The 23,384-nt window shown below is 37.7% G+C and overlaps 1 protein-coding gene across 19 annotated transcripts in view; it reads right to left on the bottom strand.

Moving 5' to 3' along the window:
• The window catches only part of SEC24B (SEC24 homolog B, COPII component), a 107,082-nt gene continuing 90,778 nt past the window's right edge, over positions 7,081-23,384 (bottom strand). For all 19 annotated transcript variants that reach the window (NM_001300813.3, NM_006323.5, NM_001318085.2 and 16 more), the window contains 10 exons: positions 23,036-23,159; positions 22,473-22,631; positions 21,578-21,751; positions 20,545-20,655; positions 17,513-17,688; positions 16,455-16,592; positions 15,234-15,338; positions 14,292-14,384; positions 9,381-9,484; positions 7,081-8,416 (listed from right to left, as the gene is read on the bottom strand). In NM_001300813.3, coding sequence (NP_001287742.1) covers positions 8,302-8,416; positions 9,381-9,484; positions 14,292-14,384; positions 15,234-15,338; positions 16,455-16,592; positions 17,513-17,688; positions 20,545-20,655; positions 21,578-21,751; positions 22,473-22,631; positions 23,036-23,159 — 1,299 coding nt within the window. In that variant the 3' untranslated portion in view covers positions 7,081-8,301. The remainder of the gene's footprint in view (positions 8,417-9,380; positions 9,485-14,291; positions 14,385-15,233; positions 15,339-16,454; positions 16,593-17,512; positions 17,689-20,544; positions 20,656-21,577; positions 21,752-22,472; positions 22,632-23,035; positions 23,160-23,384) is intronic.

Genomic DNA, 23,384 nt, shown 5'->3' with positions numbered 1-23,384 from the left:
AATTATCTCATTTGCTGTGTCCATTTCGTGACGTTCATTCAAATCCCTCTTCTCCAAACCTCCTTGTCACCAATTTTCTAATCCTGTTCCTACCAAGACCTTTGTCATCTAGTCATTTGCCATTGCCTATGAAGCTACATAGATCTACATCTTTTGAGATCTATATAGTCTAGACAAAGTGGCGATCAATGTACTGCTTGAAGTTTTGCCCACAAAGAGGATTTCTTTATTATTAGACTAATACTATAGCAGACCAGTTGATGCCAGCACTTTGTCTTAAATTCAGGTTTTAGTTTCTCCCTTAACTGATTATAGGAAAACATCCCCATGAGGCCATAAATGCGAATGCAGGGAAAGGAAGCCATGCAGCAGGAGCAGGTGTCATGAGTCAGAGCTGCCAGCTCGTGCAACTGACTTCAGGATCTGCTGAGCCTAATCCCTTATATACTAACGTTAAGCTGCCACTTAACGATAGATCGCTATTGTGCATGTTCACTTCTACTGCTTGGTTCACACTGGTCAGCATAGATCCCAAGGACATTTGACATCCTGTAGTAGACAGCTTAATAGCAATATAAGAGCTTCTCTCACAAAGGTAAGTTTTTTTTTTTGCTTTTTTTTTTTGTTTTTTTGCAGAAGAGGGTATGGCTCTGCTCTAAAACCCTAGAGAAGTCTGACTCTCCAGTTGAGGCTTGATGTGGCATTTGTATTTGCCGCAGACACTCCCAAGTTGGATCTGCTGGGTCAATAAAGCCCATGTGGCAAAGCAGTTTGCACTGAAGTCTGAGTTGATGTAGAGGCTTCTTTTGCTCTAACCACACCTCAGATTGGCAGCCTTACAGGTTACTTGGTAATGGAGTACAGTGACACACTGAAATGTTGTATACATAGCTTCCAAAAAAAAAAAAAAGCCACCAAGCACTGTGCCTCGCATTATAGAAGGTGGCACAGGGAGCAGCAATTTGTCTCCTACATTAGTGGGGATTTTGCAAGATGCTCCAGACCACTGAAACTCAACTTTGAGGTGGTATACTCCTGAATTTTCATAAGGTTTATTATCTACCTTCTGGCACCATTCTCATTCTATGTCAGATTTTCTTTCAATTTCTATCTAGTGTAGTATAGTATGTTTCTCCTCTTATCCAACTGAAACTGTCTTTATTTTTATTCACAGGTCTTCAATGCATTTTCTGTCTAGCTTGGAATAACATTGGTTCTGCTGGACACAGTGGCTCACACCTGTAATCTCAGTGCTTTGGGAGGCTGAGGTGGGAGGATCGCCTGAGCCCAGGAGTTCAGTACCAGCCTGGGCAACATAGCAATATCTTGTCTCTACCAAAAATAGCCAGGCATGGTAGTACATGCCTATAGTCCCAGCCGCTCAGGAGGCTGAAGCAGGAGGATCCCTTGAGCCCAGGAGTTTGAGGCTGCAGTGAGCTATGATCGATACCACTGCACTCTAGCCTAGCAAGACCCTGTCTCTAGGAAAAATTGGTTCAACAAACATTTACTAAATGCCTACTATATGTCAGGTATAGGGGGCACTATGACGAAGAGAACCTGGTTCCCATGTTTGAGGGAGAATGTCAATTGTAACACAGTCTGATGGGGGCTACAGTAGAGATGAGAATGTGTTATGGATACACACAGGAAGGAGTATTTAACCCAGATGAGACAGCCATCAGGAGAAGCTGCCAGGAGGTAATGATCCCTAGGCTGAATTCTGAAGGATAAGGAGGAGTAAGTGCTAAGAAAGCCAGGAAGGGAATGAAAGACAGTGTTTTCCAAGCAGTGGAGCAGCATTTGCAAAGCCTGGATGTGAACAAAGGACAGCCCCTGTAATGATGTACATTTACCTTCTTTTCCTTTCAAAGTTATTCTTCTGGTTCCTACTCATTCTCCACCCCAATTTTGTCCTCACTCCTTCCCAGATTATGACCCAAAAGAGTGCCATAAATGCTATGAAGACGATTTAGGTTCACTACATTTTTGGTAAAAACCTTTTGAAAGACCACTTTTTGCTTGTGAACACAGTACTCAGGGTCTTAGTTATTAAATAACTCAGCTTTAAGTTTTGACCTTTCTTGTTAAACATCTTATTCATCCATTTCTCCATTTACCTCTATTATTCCTAACTCTGCACATAATTACTTACTTACCAGCTTTTGATAACTAATAGGAGACAGGCTAGAGACACAGTATCTTCCACTCTATTAGAATTTTTCTGGTTCCATAGGAAGTGCATGTAATAGGCGTTTCCTATTGTTACTATGCAAGTCATTAGACCTAAGCCCCAAAGAAGCAGAATTTGAAAGAAATTGACTACAGGGGAAAAAGATCCATAAAAACTTTCATTAAGAATGGGAAAAAGTCCTCCTAACTGGTATAATGTTTTACAGATTTCCCAAGGGTCACTGTGAAATGACTCCACTATAAGAAAGGCTAATAAGCTTTTGCAGTTGTTCAATTAAATTTAAATGTGTCTCTGCCATGTATTCTGTCTTGGGAAGAGTACCTGGGGATATGTGAAGTGGGATAAGAAGTATAAAGAAAATCCAAAATACAATCCCTGCTCTAAAGCAAATTCCTAAGTAATAAAGACTTGAGAGGAATATATAGAAATTGCTTATTGTTTATTTTTAAAGAGAATGAGCTTAAACATATGATTTAATATTATAAAACAATATCCTATTAAGTTAAAAAGAAACCAGTTATAATACGGCAGTTGGCTTAATTTTATATAAAAGTTATTTAAATTAGCACATATTCACTGGCTACATCATCAAAATGTTATAAGCAATATAGAGGGGTAGGTTATGCATATTTATTTTTAGCAATGAAAGTATAATTATTTTTCTACCAAAAATATTTAAAACCCAGTTATAGAAAAATAGAAAAATATAGTGAAATATGCATACATACATCATTATATACAAATCAAATAATCTATAGCAATCTCAATGGCTATCAAGCTAAAATAATACATATCTGAAATGCAAAAATAGCAGAAAAACCATGAACACCTCCCAACAAGATAATACATTCATAAGAAAATGCTTGAGTACTGACCGTAGGATAGTTTCTGTCAGTTGTCTGACCTGCTGTGTGACAGTATCTGTATATACACTTTTGTGCATTCTTGCAAAATTACAAACCTTGTACAGGGACCAGGCATCTTATAAGTAGAATCCTAAGCAAACTCTAATAAAACACTGATTTTCATTTGTGGAAACAAATTTTAGTGGTCCTTTGTAATTCACTTATTAGTAAGTAATAACATTACTAGTAAGTACTTGTAAGTAATGCTGATTGGTCCAAAAGTAAAAATCCACAGAACTGTGCATTGTTTACTAAAGGAAACAAAAAATAATTAATTTTTGGATCTGCCCATGCCAAATCTGAAGGCAATGAATACATTAATAGCTTCTGTGTCCCCTGATTATGGCTACCTTCTCCACTTAAGCCAAGTACACATACACACTTCCTGCCCACTTGTTTTATATTACGTACTTACTTCTTATGGTTATTATAAGAATGCAGGCAGGAGGAGGATACCAATTTGCTGGTTGATACAGATCCTGTCTCTGAATTCAGAGGCAAAAGATGAATGAATTATGTAGTATCTTCTATTTTTGTTTTTCAGGTTTCATGTGCCAAACAGGGCTTGAGTGTTATTTTTTTTCTTTAAAAATTTGTATTTTTTTTTTTCTTTCAGACAGTCTTGCTCTGTCATCAAGGCTGGATTACAGTGGTGCAGTTGTAGCTCACTGCAGCCTCAAACTCCTGGGCTCAAGTAATCCTCTCACCTCAGCCTCCCAGGCAGCTAGGACTACAGGCACACACTACCACAACTGGCTAATTTTTTATTTTTTATGGAGATGGGGTCTTGCTGTGCCGCCCAGGCTGGTCTCAAACTCCTGGCCTCAAGAGATCCTCCCACCTGGACCTGCCAAAGTGTTGGGATTACAAGCGTGAGCCATCACACCCGGCTGAGTGTTTATTTTTTTCATAAATTGTCTTCTTTCAGTAATTTTTAGTTCTATCTAGATGATGTCTGCAATGTTATTTTCAACTTTGTTGTGAGTTTTCTTCTTTTCCTATGTCTTCAAAAGTATTTTAGTGAGAAGATACTTAGAAGAGGAGGGCTCACGGTTTCTTTAATATAACACTTTGCTAATATGTGCCTTTCCTAGCCTCACAAGTTGAATATGTAACAGTCAAATCCCCAAATAGCTATCAAATAGTATTTGCCACACACATATATACATATTAATGTATGAATACTTTTAATACATTAATGTATGCATTTTAATGTATCTCTGGCCAAGCCCCTAATCAGGTAGTGAATATGAATTGAGGTATCCAAAAAGCTCGCCCAGGAAATTCTGATCCCATCCCTACCAATAACACTAAGAACCACTACCTTTTTTTAGTTAGTTGAAAAAGCAGCTCACAGAATTCCTGACAAGCATACCCCTTCCTCTCACCCAACACTCCCTGCCTCACAAAGCAAATGGCCAAAGAGACTTGTCCCATAAGGAGGCAATGAGAATGGATTATCCACCTCCCATCAGGATTACTCTCGTCGTGCCTATATTTTGGTTTATGTCAGTCTCCACACACGCTAACTGAAACCTGGCTGTCTTGAGGATATTACCTTCCTCCAAACCTGTCAAAGGACGGCTGTGTTTGATCCTAAACCCCAGGCAGGCATCCCTCTACTCCTCTGTTGGCATCCAGATTCTTCTTCCTCCTTGCCTACCTCAGGTCCTCAGCATATCCCCTTGCCACTCCTCCTTATTGCAATCATTTACAGTCTCCGTGTCCCCAGCATTATTCCTGTCATTTTTTGGGGATAATTTTAATAATCAAATAGATGATCCATTTGAAATCCTGGGCTCTAAGTTCTCACCTCCCTACCTCTAGTTACCTTTAATAACATCTCAACCACTCATTCCCCCAGTCTTGTCATTATCTAAACTTCTCCCAAATCTCAATTCCAAGCTTTTCATATCCTAACCACTACATTTTATCTTTCCAACTCATTCTTTCTGACACCTATACTCTTAATAGCTTTTAACCTCAATGGGACCTCCAAACAACTAAGCCCGCTACCCATCTCTACCCATCACTATCCATCACCCATTTTGTGCTCTTGTAGCTTAAATGAGTCACTCCCTTGTATACATCCTAAATTCTCTTGCTCCTCCTCTGTTCCTTGTAGCCAACTGTGGTTAAATCCGACTTCCTACCAAGCACTGAACATAGCTAGAGGAAAGAGGTACAGTTATGCTTATTAGTTTCATTCTAAGTTCGACTCACAGCCCAAGATGGGTCCTCACAATCCTATTACATACCAGTAGTAAATTCAACATCTTACTCTCCTAGACTATTTTGCAAAACCTCTAACCCTCTTACACCCTTTCAGCTGATAATTCTGTTGCTTCTTTCACAGAGAAAAGAGCACTCGCAAAGTAAGTTCTACATTCATCTACCACAAAGTTCTCCTATTTGGACAGCTCTTGTTCCAGGTATCTATGTGGCTTTAGCTCTCTGCTCAACTCTCATCTTCTTAAAAGAGCCTTTCCTGCTCACTATCAAAAACAGTATTTTCCATCTCCTTTCCGAGCTTTATTTTTCTTCATAACATTCACTATACTTACATAGAATTATATATCACACTTACAAATTATATAAAATGATTTTTGCCTCTCCCCAGTCTTCTACGTTCTCACTTCAGAGTATAAGCTTTGTGGAAGTGAAGATTTTACTTTGTGCCTGGAACAATATCTGGCAAGCATTAAATGCTTACAAATATTTATTGAATGAGAGACAAAATATCCAGACAAAAGATTTTTGTCTTTTATAAAGAAGAATTATACTTTTTATGGTAAAATTGCAGTATTTAGTTGCCCTTAGAGTACTAAAGTTTCTCTCTCTTTTTTTTTGAGTTGAAGTCTGGCTCTTGCCCAGGCTGGAGTGCAGTGGTGCAATCTCGGCTCACTGCAACCTCTGCCTCCCAGGTTCAAGTGATTCTTCTGCCTCAGCCTCCCAAATAGGTGGGACTACAGGAAGGCACCACCATGCCTGGCTTAGTTTCTCTTACTGTTCAGATTCTCTCTTGCTAGAGGCAGCATGGTATAGGGACAAGTATGGTCCTGTGGGTGGGGGGTGGGGTGGGAGTAGGTTGTGGGTAGGGAGAACATTTGGATTTTTACTATTAGCATTGACACTAATTAGTAAGTAATGTCATTTAGGGTGAGTCATTTAACCTCTCATTTCCAGCAGGGAATGTGAGAGTACTTTTATTTTTATCCAAAGAAATGAGATCCATGAAAGCACAAAAACAGTAAAAATAACCCACTACACAGCAAGCCTTTTTCTTTTTTTTTCTTTTTTTTTTTGAGACAGGGCTTCACTCTATCTCCCAGACTGAGTGCGGTGGTGTGGTCAGAGCTCATTGCGACCTTGACCTCCTCGGCTCAGGATGTCCTTCCACCTTAGCCTCCTGAGTAGGTGGGACTACAGGTGCACACAATCCCTGGCTAATTTTTTTGTATTTTTGTAGAGACAGGGTTTCCCCCATGTTGCCCAGGCTGGTCTCGAACCTCTGGGCTCAAGCCATCCGCTTGCTTTGGTCCCTCAAAGTGCTAGGATTATAGGCATGAGCCATCATGCCTGGCAGAGTCTTTTTCCTTCCAAAGTTTGTTGATGGGGACTTTCATAGTGTACAGAATAAAATTATGTCCCATAATCTAATGGATCCTTAAGAGTTTTTTATAGTAAATAAGTTGTTAGTGAATGAGAGGTTTCTTGATCAGAAGAAAATCACTTTCAAAATTCAAGATGGCAATCTTAAAGTCAATTAAATAAATGGGATAGTGATATGTGTTACTAAAATTTTCTTGCTATAAGTGTGCAGGCAAAAATATCTAATGTAAATAAGAAAGACAATTTAAGATTATACTTACTAGTTAAGAATATTTTTGAAAGTAGCACCATTTGTTTTAGAATACAAACAGAATAAGTACTTGGTAATGTCCACAGACTAATGAAAGTGTATTGATTCATATATATTACTTTTTTTTTTTTTTTAAGATGGAGTCTCACTCTGTTGCCCAGGCTGGAGTGCAGTGGCGTGATCTTAGCTCACTGCAACCTCAGCCTCCAGGTTCAAGCGATTCTACTGCTTCAGCCTCCTGAGTAGCTGGGATTACAGGTGCCCGCCAGCACCCCTGGCTAATTTTGGTATTTTTAGCAGAGATGGGGTTTCATCATGTTGGTCAGGCAGGTCATGAACACCTGACCTCAAGTCATCTGCCCACCTTGGCCTCCCAAAGCGCTGGGATTACAGGCGTGAGCCACCGCGCCTGGCCTGATTCATATATATTACTAACTGAAATGCAGTATCACTGCACTTCCCCAATTAGTAAATTCAATACATCCTGTATGTAAAAAAACCCACCAATCCCCACAAAAAACCAATCAAACAAAAACCCCAAAAAATCACCAAACCATACTGTCAAGCGAAATAGTTTTAATTAGTAGGCTGATCATAAATAAATCTACATAAAAGATTTAACAGAATTACAAAGAGTTTTGTGTTCCTTTGTGGACTCAATTCATAATATGCATTAGTCAACCTCATTCTCTAACTGTGACAAAAAGAGTTGTCATCCAACAATGCAGCACAGTTTAAGCAATTCATATGCTATAGTTACATTTTTACATTTTCTTTACAAATGTAACATTTATGTACATTATATATAGATTTTTTTCTATAGTTCATGTACTGAAACTCTATTGTTTTTACAGAGAAAATGTTGAATTCATTTAATGAATAAGAAACATTCCTTGTTAAAAAGTAATTCATATAAACAAATAACACGGTACCAATGCCTTTTGGCATCTCTTGCCAGAGTTCAAGTCCAGAAATGTTATATTAATTATAAGAAAAAAGAATTTATCTAATTTTACATTATGACATATCATTCCACATAGCTACATAAATTTGCCAGCTTGCAATGAACAGAGCACTGTACTGCCATACTACTGGAAATGTGTAGAAACCAATTCAAAATATACTTGGTGAAACAGCATCATCGTTACCATTAATTTGAGTTGAAAAAGATCTGTCAAGTTCTTTCTTCCCCTTTACTTTTTACCAAAGCCTCAGACAGAGTGCTGTGCGTTGCATCTTGTATTAACAAATGCCTTCATTTCAAATTTCTCACGCGCTTCTCTGACAGATTATGCTTTACCTAGGTTATAGATCTTTTTCTTATTCAATTTTATTCTACTTCACTTACAAATCTGCTGCTGAACATGAAGCAAAAATTCATAGTAAGAAAATGCAGCCTCTGTCCGGTCTTCAATCAAATGCTGAAAAAATTCTGCTTTGGCAGGACTCTCATCTCTGGAAGAAAGAAAAGGGCATTTGTCTAAACGTATTTAAAAGCCCTGATTTCACCACTTTGCAATCTAGCTCATAAAATTACACTTGTATCCTGTAAATTTATACAAATAAAATAAAAGTGCATATTTCTAAAAATAGTATATATTTTAAAAATTACTGGGCTGGCAGCTCACACCTGTAATCTCAGCACTTTAAGAGGCTAAGGTGGGAGGACTGCTTGAGCCCAGAAGTTTAAGACCAGCCTGGGCAAGATAGAAAGATCCCCATTGCTTAAAAAAAAAAAAAAAATTTTTAAAATTGGCCGGGCGTGGTGGCTCACGCCTGTAATCCCAGCACTTTGAGAGGCCGAGGTGGGTGGATCACCTGAGGTGAGGAGTTCAAGACCAGCCTGGCCAACATGGTGAAACCCTGTCTCTACTAAAAATACAAAAATTAGCTGGGCGTGGTGGTGGGCGCCTGTAATCCCAGCTACTTGGGAGGCTGAGGCAGGCGAATCGCTTGAATCCAGGACGCAGAGGTTGCAGTGGGCTGAGATCGCACCATCGCACTCCAGCCCGGGTGACAAGAGCGAAACTTTGTCTCAAAAAAAGAAAAAAAAAAAATTAAAAATTAGCCAGGTGTGGAGGGAAGTGCCTGCAGTCCCAGCTACTCGGGAGTCTGAGTTGGGAGGATTACTTGAGCATGGGAGGTCCAGGCTGCAGTGAACTGTGATAGCAGCACCCCTGCACTGCAGCCTGAGTGACAGAGTGAGACTCTATCTCAAATTAAATAAAGAAAGAAAGAAAATTAAAAATTACTAATATATGGAGATGTCAGAAAATGGAATACAGGGGATTTAAATCAAGTAACAACATTTTACCATCAGAATATATTTTGCTACTATTTAAAGTTTGCTTTGAAGACAAGCAATTCCACAGACTACATAGGAAAGACAACTTCATAATTAAGTTACAAAAGTACTTACTTTACTATGTGAAGGATTGGACTTAATGGTCTGCTGTCTCTAAGCCAAGTTATGAAGGATCTGGCTCTTTCTGATGAAAGTGTATCTAGCTCTGGAAGATGTGTCTGGTAAAAGAAATACAATTAGGAAACTTTCCTTTCTCATAGACTTCAGCAGTAATAGAACAAAATCATGATTCCTACCATCACCCCCAACTGCCAGCACTCTATTTCTTAGCCTCAACAGCAGCAACTACACAAATAAAATTTAAACTGTTGAAAAATCTGTTTATATTTTTCTGGATAAGTCAATAAAATATGTGCAATGACAAGTATGTCACTGACATTTTAACTGACTATATTTTTCTTGGTAAGTCAATAAAACATAAACAACGATTAGCATGTCACCAGTATTGTGTGGCGGCTTTATGTTTCTTCTAGAGGAAATGTTCAAATGAAGGGGGATACCATTAAATTCCAAATTCCCTTAGCAATTATATATGATTATATCCTATTCTAAAAACAGCCATTCTGGGAGAATTTCATGTTTTCTTTAATTTAAAGGCAAAGAATTTTAAAGTACAGTGTGGATATGTAAATATATTTTAAAACTATACGCGAGACTATTTTAAAAGGACCTAAAAGTCTATTATTTTTTATATACATAAAAAGGTAAGATTTACTTTCCTTTTTCAAAGCCAACTGTAAATTAAATAGCAAATTAACAGTAAATTAAATAATTCAAAAATGTAGTATATAACAAAATTTAAATAGACAAGTTTGGAATAATTATGTTTGTAATTCCGGTCAATATTTTAAAAACCATTTCCATTTTGATGTGAATTTTTTCAGATGTTTTCTAAATTATTACTAAGTATACAAACACATTTTTGAAAATACAAATGGGGATCATATCATGCATATTATTCACTTCAGGCTGTATTCTTCTTCTTTTTTTCTTTTTAAGAGATGGGGTCTTGCTAGGTTGCCCAGACTGGAGTGCAATGGCTGTACACAAGTGCAGTCATAGTACACTACAGCTTTGAACTCCTGGGCTCAAGCTATCCTCCTGCCTCAGCCTCCTAGCCTCCCAAGTAGCTGGGACCACAGGTGCATGGCACAGTGCCCCAGACTGTATTCTTTTTAATAAATGCACAGCTATTATTTAATACTATAAGCATGTGTGTATATATGCCTACTTCTATGAATATATCTATGGGACACATTCTTTGCAGAATAATTTACCGTGTCATAAAGAACATGATTTTCACAGACATTGTCAAATGGCCCTCTAAAAAGGTTATATAAGTACTATATATTCCAGTCAATAATGCTCAACAGTGTCCACTGTCCTAAACTGTCTACATGATTGCCTATTATCAAATTTTAAAATTTTTGACAATCTGGTAAATGAAAGAAATGCTAAATTACTATTTTTTTTCCTAATTATGAGTGAGGTTAAATATTGTTTTATATGACCTCTACTTTATTCTTCTTTTATGAATTGCCTATTAAAATCCTTTACCCAGTTTTGTCTGGAGGAGGCAGAAAGTAAGGAAGGTCTTCTCAAAGATTTGTAAGAGAACTTTTTATAGAGAAGTTAGCCCTTTTCAGTCTTATGAGTTACAGATAATCTTAAGATTTTATTGTTTGTATTTTGGCTTTATTTATTTATTTATTGTTACCAAATATAAATGTTTTATATTTGTGCTTTCAGATTTATTGATCTTTTGAATCACCGACTTACAAAGGCGTTACCCATTCTAATATTATAAAAAAAAAAAAAATTTGGCCAGGCGCAGTGGCTCACGCCTGTAATCCCAGCACTTTGGGAGGCCGAGGTGGGGGGATCACAAAGTCAGGAGATCGAGACCATCCTAGCTAACACAGTGAAACTCCATCTCTACTAAAAATACAAACAATTAGCTGGGCGTGGTGGCAGGCGCCTGTAGTCCCAGCTACCCAGGAGACTGAGGCAGGAGAATGGCGCGAACCCGGGAGGCAGAGCTTGCAGTGAGCCAAGATTGCGCCACTGCACTCCAGCCTGGGTGACAGAGTGAGACTCCATCTCCAAAAAAACAAAACAAAACAAAAAATTCACAAATATTTCTTCTAGTGATCTGCATGGTTTCCTTTTTTACATTTAAATGTTTGATCCATTTGAAAGTTATTTTGATATAAGGAATAAGGTAAATATCCAGTCTTGTTTTTTCCTTAATGACTAATCAGTGGTCCCAAGATTATTTTTCTAATATTCCATTTCCCCACAGTAATTTGAAATGCAATCTTTACCACACTGTATTTTTCATTAATTAGATCTGTTTCTGAACTCTATTCTGTCCCACTGATCTGTTTACTGTGCCAGTATCATGGTACTTAAATAACTACAGCTTTAGAATAAGGTTTACTATTTTACTTAGAATTTATTTTTCATATATTTCCCCCTTTGCTGACATTATTCTCCCTTTTCATTTTCTTATTATCCTCATTTGTTGAGTTTTACCAATGAACTCTTGGATTATCTGTCATTTAAAAAAAAATCAAACAATGACAGATTGTAATAAGGATTACACTGAATTTATATTAATTTCAGGAAAAAGGACATATTTACATTACCTAACAATAAGCTAGGCCAGCCTTCCCTTTAAATTAATTAATTATACAAATCTGTTTTCAGAATCATATTTCCTTGGTATTGGTTAGCATACATTCAATAAAATCCTACTGAAAAATTTGTGTTTAGTATAAGCAAAGTAACTTTTTTTTTGAGACGGAGTCTTGCTCTGTCACCCAGGCTGGAACGCAGTGGCGTGATCTCGGCTCACTGCAAGCTCCGCCTCCCGGTTTCATACCATTCTCCTGCCTCAGCCTCCTTAAGAGCTGGGACTACAGGCGCCTGCCACCACGCCCAGCTAATTGTTTTTTTGTATTTTTAGTAGAGACAAGGTTTCACCATGTTAGCCAGGATGGTCTCGATCTCCTGACCTCTTGATCCACCCACCTCGGCCTCCCAAAGTGCTGGGATTACAGGCATGAGCCACCGCGCCCAGCCACTTTTTTTTTTAGACGGAGTCTTGCTCTGTCGTCCAGGTTGGAGTGCAGTGGCGCAATCTTGGCTCACTGCAAGCTCCACCTCCCAGGTTCAAGTGGTTCTCCTACTTCAGCCTCCCGAGTAGCTGGGACTACTGGCACCCGTCACCATGCCTGGCTAATTTTTTTTGTATTTTTTAATAGAAACGGGGTTTCACCATGTTGGCCAGGATGGTCTTGATCTCTTGACCTCGTGATACACCCACCTAGGCTTCCCAAAGTGCTGGGATTACAGGTGTGAGCCACAGCGTCCGGCCCAGCAAAATAATTTAAACCCAAAGTTAAAGTTGTTGGAAAACAGTTTGGCAGTTCCTCAAACAGTTAAACATAGAGTTATCATGTGACCCAGTAATTCTACTCCTAGGAATATGCCCAAGAGAACTGAAAACATATGTTCACACAAAAACTCGTACATAAGCATTCATAGTAGCACTATGCACAATAGTCCCAAAGCAAAAACAACTGAAATATCCATCAGTGGATGAATGGGTGATCAAAATGTGGTATGTCCATACAATGGACTATTTTTCAGTCATAAAAAAGAACAAACTGGCCAAGCACCGTGGCTCACACCTGTAATCCCAGCACTCTGGGAGGCCAAGGCAGGAGGACTGCTTAAGCCCAGTAGTTCGAGACCAGCCTGGGCTACACAGGGATACCCCATCTCTAGAAAAAAAATTTTTTTAATTAGCCAAGTGTGGTGGCATACTCCTGTGGTCCCAGCTACTCAGGAGGCTGAGGTAAGAGAACTTTTTATAGAGAAGTTAGCCCGTTTTCAGTCTTTTGAGTTACAGATAATCGTAAGAGTTTGTTGTTTGCATTTTTACTTTATTTATTTTTACCAAATAGAAATGTTTTATATTTGCGCTTTCAGATTTATTGATTTTTTGAATCACTGACACACACAAAGGCCTTACCCATTTTAATTTTTTTTTCTTTTTTTAGTTGGAGTCTCGCTGTGTCACCCAGGCTGGAGTGCAGTGGCACGATCTCGGCTCACTGCAAGCTCCGCCTCCCGAGTTCACACCATTCTCCTGCCTCAGCCTCCAGAGTAGCTGGGACTACAGGCGCCCGCCACCATGCTCGGCTAATTTTTTTGTATTTTTAGTAGAGATGGGGTTTCACCGTGTTCACCAGGATGGTCTCAATCTCCTGACTTTGTGATCTGCCTGCCTCTGCCTCCTTAAGTGCTTGGATTACAGGCGTGAGCCACTGCGCCTGGCCCATTTTAATAGTATAAAAAAAAAAACCACAAATATTTCTTCTAGTGATCTGCATGGTTTCCTTTTTTACGTTTAAATGTTTGATCCATTTGAAAGTTATTTTGACATAAGGAGTAAGGTTACTACTGATTCCTACTCAGGAGGCTAAAGTGGGAGGACCACTTAAGTATGGGAGGTCGAGGCTATAGTGAGCCATTACTGAGCCACTGCACTACAATCTGGGCGACAGAGCAAGACTCTGTCTAAAAAAAAAAAAAAGAACTACTAATATAAGCTACAACATCAATGAATCTTAGAAACATTAAGGAAAGTGAAAGAAGCCAAATACAAAAGGCCACATATTACCATTTATATAACATATCCAGAACAGGCAAATCCATAGATAGAAAGTAGATTAGTAGTTGCCTGGGGACAGGGATAGGGAAGAATTGGGAGATATGGGGTTCTTTTAGGGTGATAAGAAATGTTCTGAAACTAAATAGTGGTAATGGCTGTAAAACACTGTGTAATACCAAAAATTACTGAATTGTACATTTTAAAATGGTGAATATTACATGAATTTTACATCAATAAAAAAAAATGAGCAAACAAAAAGTTAAAGGTGTATAAAATCTACTGACCATTTTCTGTGGTATTGATGCAAAATTAGTATATCCAAGCACATCCTCTATGAAGTTATTGTCACAGCCTTTCCCAACCCAAATGTAAAAAACCTAAAAAGAAAAAGCAACAAAATATTAAAACTCCCTAATAGTTAATTCATTTTCATTAATGTTCTCAAAATTATCACCTCAAATAAGGTAGAAACAAACAGAAGAGTAAAAAGGAAATCTATAATTGTTACATTGTGAATCTATATGTAAGAATCCAGAGTGGTTCACATCGTCTTTGATTAAATGTTAAGGCTTACCATAAAATATATTTTACCTTTTGCACTTATTTTCCCAATAGAAATATAATCCTTTAATCAGTATAATTGACTCACTGTATTTCCCATCCACTATTTCATTACTGTCTGTGTATTTTCACTCATGCATTTCTCCCTCTTCTGTGGCTATCCAAATCCTTTTTCTGCTCATAAGGCATCATTTTGAAGCCATCTTAACCATTCTAACTCCCTTCAACAACTACCCCTGCCCAGTGATTTCTCTTGAACTCCTAATCATTAATGAGATTTCTGACAATGGATGTAAGTTGAACTAGATAAACTCTTGAAATACTTTTAAATTCTAGACTCTAGATGGTAAAGTCCCTAAATATAGGAATTTACCTCATTAGTTCTCTTCATCAAGTATATATAATTCATGACAGTAAATAATCCATATTAAAATGTATTACTCTATCAGTATTATCAATACAAATATCAATAACATCAATATAAAATGAAGTCCAAATAGAAAAGTTTAAAGTAAATTGACCTCCAGTGCTAGTTACCAATTTCAGCTCCTAATCCTAATTCACCTTTCACTACTTGCTCTGTGATAACAGCTGGACCCTATAAGTGTTTCTTTGTTTTTGGTCAGCTCAAACAGTGTTAAGCTTTGCCAGTAAAGGGTGCTTACAGAGCCACAGTCCATAAGGAAAGCACCTTCTCTTGTCAGCTTCTCTGCAGACAATTTTTGAAGAGGTGGCTGTGGTACAATCCTGTCATTAACATGTACTGCACCCTGAAAAGAAAAAGAGAGAATGTGAATGAGATTACATTACTATCATCACAGTTTGGGAGCTAATGGTCACTAACCCTTTATGAAGCATTGGAAAATAACACTTGGGAGTTTTGCATGATATAAAAAATACTGATTATATGCTACCACCTTGGCTGTAGAATCAACACACTCAAATGTATTCAAATTTAAAAAGTAAAAACATGAATACATAAAATGATCTGTCACATTCCCTTCCCTTTTAGGGTGGGGTCAGAATATATTACAAGTGTGACTACTGGCTCTGTTGCATAGCCAGCTTTTTTTTTTACATTTCTTTGGCAACATAACATTATGTTTGGAATACTAATTCCAAAGAATACAGTTTTCACACAGGGAAGATAAAAGACACTACATATTTGCACATTAAAATTATTATTGGATACCAGATTTGGTTTACTATATAATCAAAATTGCAACTGATCTTATCAAAAGCAGTCAATATTGGCCAGGTGTGGTGGCTCATGCCTGTAAACCCAGCACTTTGGGAAGCCGAGATGGGCAGATCACTTGAGGTCAGGAGTTTGAGGCCAGCCTGGCCAATATGGTGAAACTCTGTCTCTACTAAAAGTACAAAAATTAGCCAGGCGTGGTGGCATGTGCCTGTAATCCCAGCAACTTGGGTGGCTGAAGCAGAATTGCTTGAACCTGGGAGGCAGAAGCTGCAGTGAGCCGAGATCACACCACTGCACTCCAGCCTGGGTGACACAGCAAGATTCTGTCTTTAAAATAAAATTTAAAAAAAAGAAAATAAAGAGAAGCAGTCAATATCTACAAAATATAAATGGAAATGTCCACTCTACAACTTAGCTTTGTAATACATATTATAAGCAAACCTACAAGACAAATTACTTCTGATATGAAACTATTTTTTAAAACTACTTAACCACTGATGGTATTTAAGAGTCCTGCCATCCAATCAGATCCACAGCCAGTGTCCTTATTTAATGTATTACTACCACAAGGGGGAAAAAGAGTTAAAAAGAAAAACCAGTTGATAGTATATTATCATCTTAGCTGTAGAACAAGACACTCAAATATATTCAAATTTAAACATTTCAAATGCACTAAAATACATACCTCATCTGTCAATCTGTCTATCCTGTATAAGTTGGGATGAATCATTTTCATTAGATGAACAAGTGGCTGAGACTTTATCTGACACATGGCATATACACGATCATCCAGCCGTGTGCTTGTACCCGTTCTAAATGCTTTCTACAAGGAAAAAGATAAACGTTTTCAAGTAAAATACAAATATGGTGGACAAATATTAAAACAAATATACACTGTCAATCATGGAAAAAGCATGGCCTTTAAATCAGACAGACCTAGATTCAATTCTCAGCTCTGACATTTAATAGGTATGTGATGCTGGAGCAAGTTACCTAGCTCCTCTGAGCTATACTGTCATCATGAGAAAAATAGGGAAAATAATACCTCTTTAGGTTGTTGAAAGGATTAAATAAAATGATGCATTGACACCTTTTATGGTGCCAGAGACATGGAAAGATGCTTAATATTAGTTCCTGTCCTTAAAGAGTCTCTTTCCAGAGGACATATTAAGAGTGAGCTATGACTGCACCATTATGCAAACTGCTCACACACATTAAAGAAGAGAGAATATGGTTTCACTAAAGTCATCATGTATTTGTATACCTTCATTTTCCACTGATCTTTTCTTTTTTTTTTTTTTTTTTTTTTTTTGAGACGGAGTCTCGCTCTGTTGCCCAGGCTGGGGTGCAGCGGCATGATCTTGGCTCACTGCAACCTCCACCTCCCAGGTTCAGGCAATTCTCCTGCCTCAGCCCCCAGAGTAGCTGGGATTACAGGCGCGTGCCACCAGCTAATTTTTGTATTTTTGGTAGAGGCGGGGTTTCACTATGTTGGCCAGGCTGGTTGCAAACTCCTGGCATCAGCTGATCCGCACACCTCGGCCTCCCAAAGTGCTGGGATTACAGGCGTGAGCCACCATGCATGGCCCCATTGATCTTTTTCTATTCTTCAAAACTCTTTCAATGCTAAAGTGAATAATCCTCTAGTTAAGTATTAGAAAACAACCTAGATTTCCTTTCTTCATGTACATATCTGAGAATTTTAAAAAACAATATTAAATATAGCAATGTATAAAAAGCTACCTGTTTGAGAAGGGCCAAAACATAGAGAGGAAACAACTTGAGGGAGCTGGGCGCCATCAATGCAGAGTGCTGTAAATTTGAGACAGTTGAGCCATATGCAGACAATGAGTCCACTACAGCATTCACTAAGGCATCTCTTGCATCTGACAGACTTGATGAAACGGACCGATCCACAGCTAAAAAGCAACCAAAGTGAAAGGTATTTTAACCATTAGAATCCAATGGGCACTATAAGAGAGAAAATTTATACGCATTATTTAAGAAACAAAATTCAGCTAAGTTTTTAGGATGGAAAAATGCATTTCATCAGCTCCCTCATTTCAAATGTCTTCTTATACATTTTTTTCTGAAATAAATCTGACAATCAGAACAAGTCTAGATTCTTTTGGACATTTTTGTTTTAATCTCTTAAGTCTAAAAACATTTAGCCAGGCTGGACATGGTGGCTCATGCCTGTAATCCCAGCACTTTGGGAGGCCAAGGTGGGAGGATCACTTGAGCCCAGGAGTTCATGACCAGATTAGGCAACATAGTGAGACCTTGTCTCTACAAAAAATAAAAAAATTAGCTGGGCATGGTGGCACGTGCCTGTAGTCCCAGCTATTTGGGAGGCTGAAGTAGGAGGACTGCTTGAGCCTGGGAGGTCGAAGCTGCAGTAACCTGTGATTGTGCACTCTGGCATGGGCGACAGAGCAAGACCCTGTCTACAAACAAACCCCAAAACATGTAGCCCCTATTGATATTAGTGAAATGCATATTTTTCCATTTACTTCTGAAAAAGCCTTGGGAAGGTTTCCATTACTCAAACACCAAGTCACATGTATCATTTTTTTCTGCTCAACCAATGTAATTTCTGCAATCTGAATTATACCTTGTGATCCTCTACAATTTTTGTAAAGCATTCCAAGCCAACAAATTTTTTGAAAGGGAAAAATAAACACAAGTTTTCATGCAGCCATTAAGACACAGGTAACGTGAAACTTATTTTTCTACAATAATATATTCTATTAAAATAGGGATAACCTATAATATATATGCCCAAGCACTAAAAATAGAATTATATTAAAAAACAATTGGTTATGGCATAATTAATTCAAAATCTATATATAAAATTATACTTAAAAAATCTGAATCCTGAGGTTTGGGGTACAACTGATTCCATCATAACGAACGTGCATATGTACTCCCTGAATCAAAAACAAAAGTTAAAATTAAGAAATAAATCTGATATACAAGCTTTTGATTTTAGTTAAATATTTAAGAGAATCTGATTAAATCCTTCTTCTTTTTCCCCCCACCCCCGAGACAGAGTCTCCCTCTGTTTCCCAGGCTGGAGTGCAGTGGTGCGATCTTGGCTCATTGCAACCTCTGCCTCCCGGGTTCAACAGATTCTCCTGCCTCAGCCTCCTGAGTAGCTGGGACCACATGTGTGCACCACCACACCCAGCTAATTTTTGTATTTTTAGTAGAGACAGGGTCTCACTTCATTGACCAGTCTCGTCTTGAACTCCTGAAGTTAAGTGATCCACTTGCTTCAGCCTCCCAAGTACTGGGATTACAGGCATGGGCCACCACACCAGGACTGATTAAATGCTTCTGTTATTTAAAAAAATTTGGATCCTTCGGTAAATGCTATTATAATTTTTCCCAAATTAGTATTAATAACTCTCTTTCTCTAGGACTACATGGGAAATAGCAAGGCTTGTTTCATGTCTAAGTTCATCTACAAGGCAAATTCATTGAAAACATTTAAGTGCTATGTTAATTCTCAAAAGGATTTTTTTAGACTTACATATAATTAGTTTAAGTACAGTTCTATAGTGGTTATGTGTCAAATGCATAGCCATGTAATCTCTACCACAATCAGGATACACAATAGTTCCATCACTACAAAATTATCCCCCTATACTTGCCCCTTTGCAGTAAAACCCTCCCTCAGTCTCAATCCCAATTAGTCACCATTTGATAATTTTCCCTTTCCCTGAATGTCATTTATATAGAATCATTTGTATGTAGCTTTTTTTTTTTTTTTTTGAGATGCAGTCTCACGCTGTCACTCAGGCAGGAGTACAGTGGCGAGACCTCGGCTCGGCTCACTGCAACCTCTGCCTCCTGGGTTCAAAGGATTTTCCTGCCTCAACCTCCCAAGTAGTTGGGATTACAGGGGTGCAGCACCACGCCCAGCTAATTTTTTTCTTGTATTTTTAGTAGAGACAGGGTTTCACCATGTTGGCCAGGCTGGTCTTGAACTCCTCACCTCAAGTGATCCGCCCACTTCAGCTTCCCAAAGTGTTGGGAATGAGCCCACCTGGAATGAGCTCATTACAGGCATGAGCCACCACACCTGGCCTATGCAGCTTTTTGAGTCTAGCTTCTTTTATTCAGCACAATGTCTTTGAGAGGCATCCATGTTTGTTTAAGTATTGACAGTTCATTCCTTTTTATTGCTGCATTATATTCTATTGTATGAGTGTACCATGGATTGTGCATATATTATTTGAAGGACATTTCAGTTTTTACCACATTTTTAGAGATTATGAATTCCCTCAAAGATTTTGAAAGTAAGATTAAGGAAGAAATGTGAGGACAGTCTGATTCACAATGCAGTAAATAAAAATGTAAAACATATGCTTTTTAAATAAGAGAAAATCCTAGCTTCAGTTTCTTTCTTTCTTTTTTTTTTTGAGACAGAGTCTCACTCTGTTGCCCAAGCTGGAGTGGAGTGATTGGAGTGATGCGGTCTCGGCTCACTGCAACGTCCGCCTCTCAGGTTCAAGCAATTCTCCTGTCTCAGTCTCCTGAGAAGCTGCGATTACAGGCGCCTGCCACCACGCTCGGCTATTTTTTCGTATTTTTAGTAGAGATGGGGTTTCACCATGTTGGCCAGCCTGGTCTCAAACTCCTGACCTCGTGGTCCGTCCGCCTCAGCCTCCCAAAATGCTGGGATTACAGGCGGACGCACTGCCACCAGCCAAGCTTCAGTTTTTAAGATAGAAAAATACATTTCACATGTTCCTTCAATTTTTACTCACCCATGTTTGCCAGAAGGCAGATGGCAGCTTGTACATCCACTCCCGCATATACATCTGCTAGTGAACTTACCACTGGCAAACAAAGTGTATGTACTCTAATTCTCCGCTCACCTAAAAAAAAAGTCATTGAAAATACATTAGATCAAAAAGGAAATAAAGCAAAGCAAACATGTCAAATACTTTTTTTCTTTCTTTCTTTCTTTTTTTTTTTTTTGAGACGGAGTCTTGCTCTGTCTCTTAGGCTGGAGTGCAATGGTGTGATCACAGCTCACTGCAACTTCTGTCTCCTAGGTTCAAGTGATTCTCCTGCCTCAGCCTCCCAAGTAGCTGGGATTACAGGTGCCTGCCACCATACCCAGCTAATTTTTGTATTTTTAGTAGAGATGGGGTTTCACCAGGTTGGCCAGGCTGGTCTGGAACTCCTGACCTCAGGTGATCCACCCACCTCGGCCTCCCAAAGTGCTGGGATTACAGGCGTGAGCCACCGCCACATCCAGCCACAAGTCGAATTTTTATTCAAGTTATTGTTTTGGCTAGATTACATCACCAACAGGATTTTGAGATGTAAAAACCAAGTTTTACAATGAACATTTTTAAAAGAAAATTAAACACTCTCCAAATCTGCAGAGTATGAACATACGCTATATCACTCATTCTAAATTATATCCTATAGAGTAAAATACCAGAAAACTTAACTGTCAAGTAACAAATGAAGGCCTTAATTGCTAAGCAGTTTTTTACTTTTTGGGGCAAGAAATAATACAAAGAATGGCATAGCTGGATTTAGCATGAACTGTTTTGAAACAAGATTCTAAGAATACAAGTCTTCCATAAATTAAAAAAGTGTGCTATTTAAAGATGCAAAAGTGAGAGTTAAAAAAAGAAAGAAAATAACAACATATGTTTGATTAACTAATACAAATTCCATTACTTCCCACTGTGTATTCATTCTTTTTCCCCACTCCACTAAAGGCCATGTGAAAGGAGGGAGGAATTACTGCTGCAGACTATATTTCATTTCTGTTAACATTACCTTTGCTTGATGTATATAATAGGGCTGTTTGAAAACATACTAAGGAAGTATCTGTTAAACTTTCTTCAATTGACAACTGCACCGCAAATCCAGCATCAGGATTGATGTTGGCAAGGGATAACAAATCAGTAGAACGGACAAAGAAGTTACCGTGAAAAGTGTGCATTGAAAGACCTAAAAAGGAGAAAATCATAAAAAATCAAGTTAACAATAGTATCTTCACCTCAAGCTAAAGTTACTTTTTTAAGTCAAAGATGTTTATGATTTTGAATCAAAAGGATAACTGGGGAGTCAAGGTTCAAGCATAGGCAGAGTTTCTAAAATATTAATTCAAAAAAACTAGTGGACGTTATATAAAAGGGAGACTATACATTTCACTTGTATTGACACCTAACCTTATTTACATTTTCTCACATGTGACTTGAAGTCAGACATAATCTGACTAAACATTTAATTTACAAAATTAAGCAAATGAGGGTTATTATATAACTCATCCTAGATTTAAAATAAAGGTAAAATAAAGGATTAAAACAAATATTCACATAAAACCAAGGAAGTGTACATTAAATGATTATGAAGGCAAAGACCCTTACTTTGACAATTCTTATTTAAGATCTTCCCTATTCCTCTAATTCTCCTTCTAAAATCATTTCTAATATAGGCTTTCTCTTAGGTTCTTCTGAGTAAATCAAACATTACTTTTGTCTACTTATTCAAGTTATTTTTAAAAATTGGGCAAGGATTATTCAATAACTATTATCTATTTAAAACATGGTATAGCTAATGAGATCAAACAGTCTTCCATCATGAACAGTCAGAGGTAGTCAATACATGGAATGCTCACTGACTTTGATACAAGTATTTAATATAAAATATAACTTTTACAACTTCATACCTTTAGTACACCTTATTCTCATAACAGCTTCAAACCCAATTTTTCTTGTGAGATACCGTTTTAGGTCTTTTTGTAACTTTTCTGCTTGTGAAGGATTGTGAGTATAGTGGAATGATGGATAATAATAGATGCACCCTGCAGAATACTTGGACATGCAAGCTTTAGAGAGAAATACAAAAAGTATTAGCTATAGAAATAATAATATTTTACTTGTCCAACAGTAGTACAGATTCTACATTATGAAGAAATCTAAGTCATGAGAAAACCTAAGCCATCAAAATAAGAACATACAAATCTGAGAAAACAGTAATATCTATAAAATATATGATAAAGTTTACTGTTGAGCAGAATGGTAAGGGAATCATGCTATCTAAACAAAATACAAGTGACATTTTATATTTGTATAGTGCTTTAAACTTTACTGGTAGTTTTCATAGATATTGTCTATCTAATGCACATGCTTTTCTCCCTAAAATATAGAGAATGCTTACTGAAGAGTTTAGATTTAATTATGCATTAAAAATGTTCATTTAAACAAATGTACCCATGATGACTTTCCTTACCTAGAGAAGCAAGATCAGAATACTGTGAACTTAAAAGGAACAAATCCACTGCAGTTTGCTGTCCCGAGCAATCTAATGCAAGTTTCTTATAAAAATCAGTTGCAGGGCCAAGATGTTGTACCACCTAAGTCAACAGATCATATAGTAAGAGCTAGCAATCTTTATGCTCATATTTTCATGTCATTTTTATAACAAAAAGGATATCCTCTGCCTCCCTACCAAACTAAGAGTTTTCTAAATGTCTAGGCATTTGGTGCAGATTCCCTATGATAATAATAATGATAGATAATCTTTATAAAAAACACTTATGTGCCAGCACTGTTTCACACAAATTAATTTTCATAACACA

Source organism: Homo sapiens, chromosome 4, assembly GCF_000001405.40.
Source record: "Homo sapiens chromosome 4, GRCh38.p14 Primary Assembly".
Taxonomy (NCBI): Eukaryota; Metazoa; Chordata; class Mammalia; order Primates; family Hominidae; genus Homo; species Homo sapiens.
The sequence above is the reverse complement of the archived record's forward strand: the minus strand, read 5'-3'. Positions and strand labels throughout refer to the sequence as shown.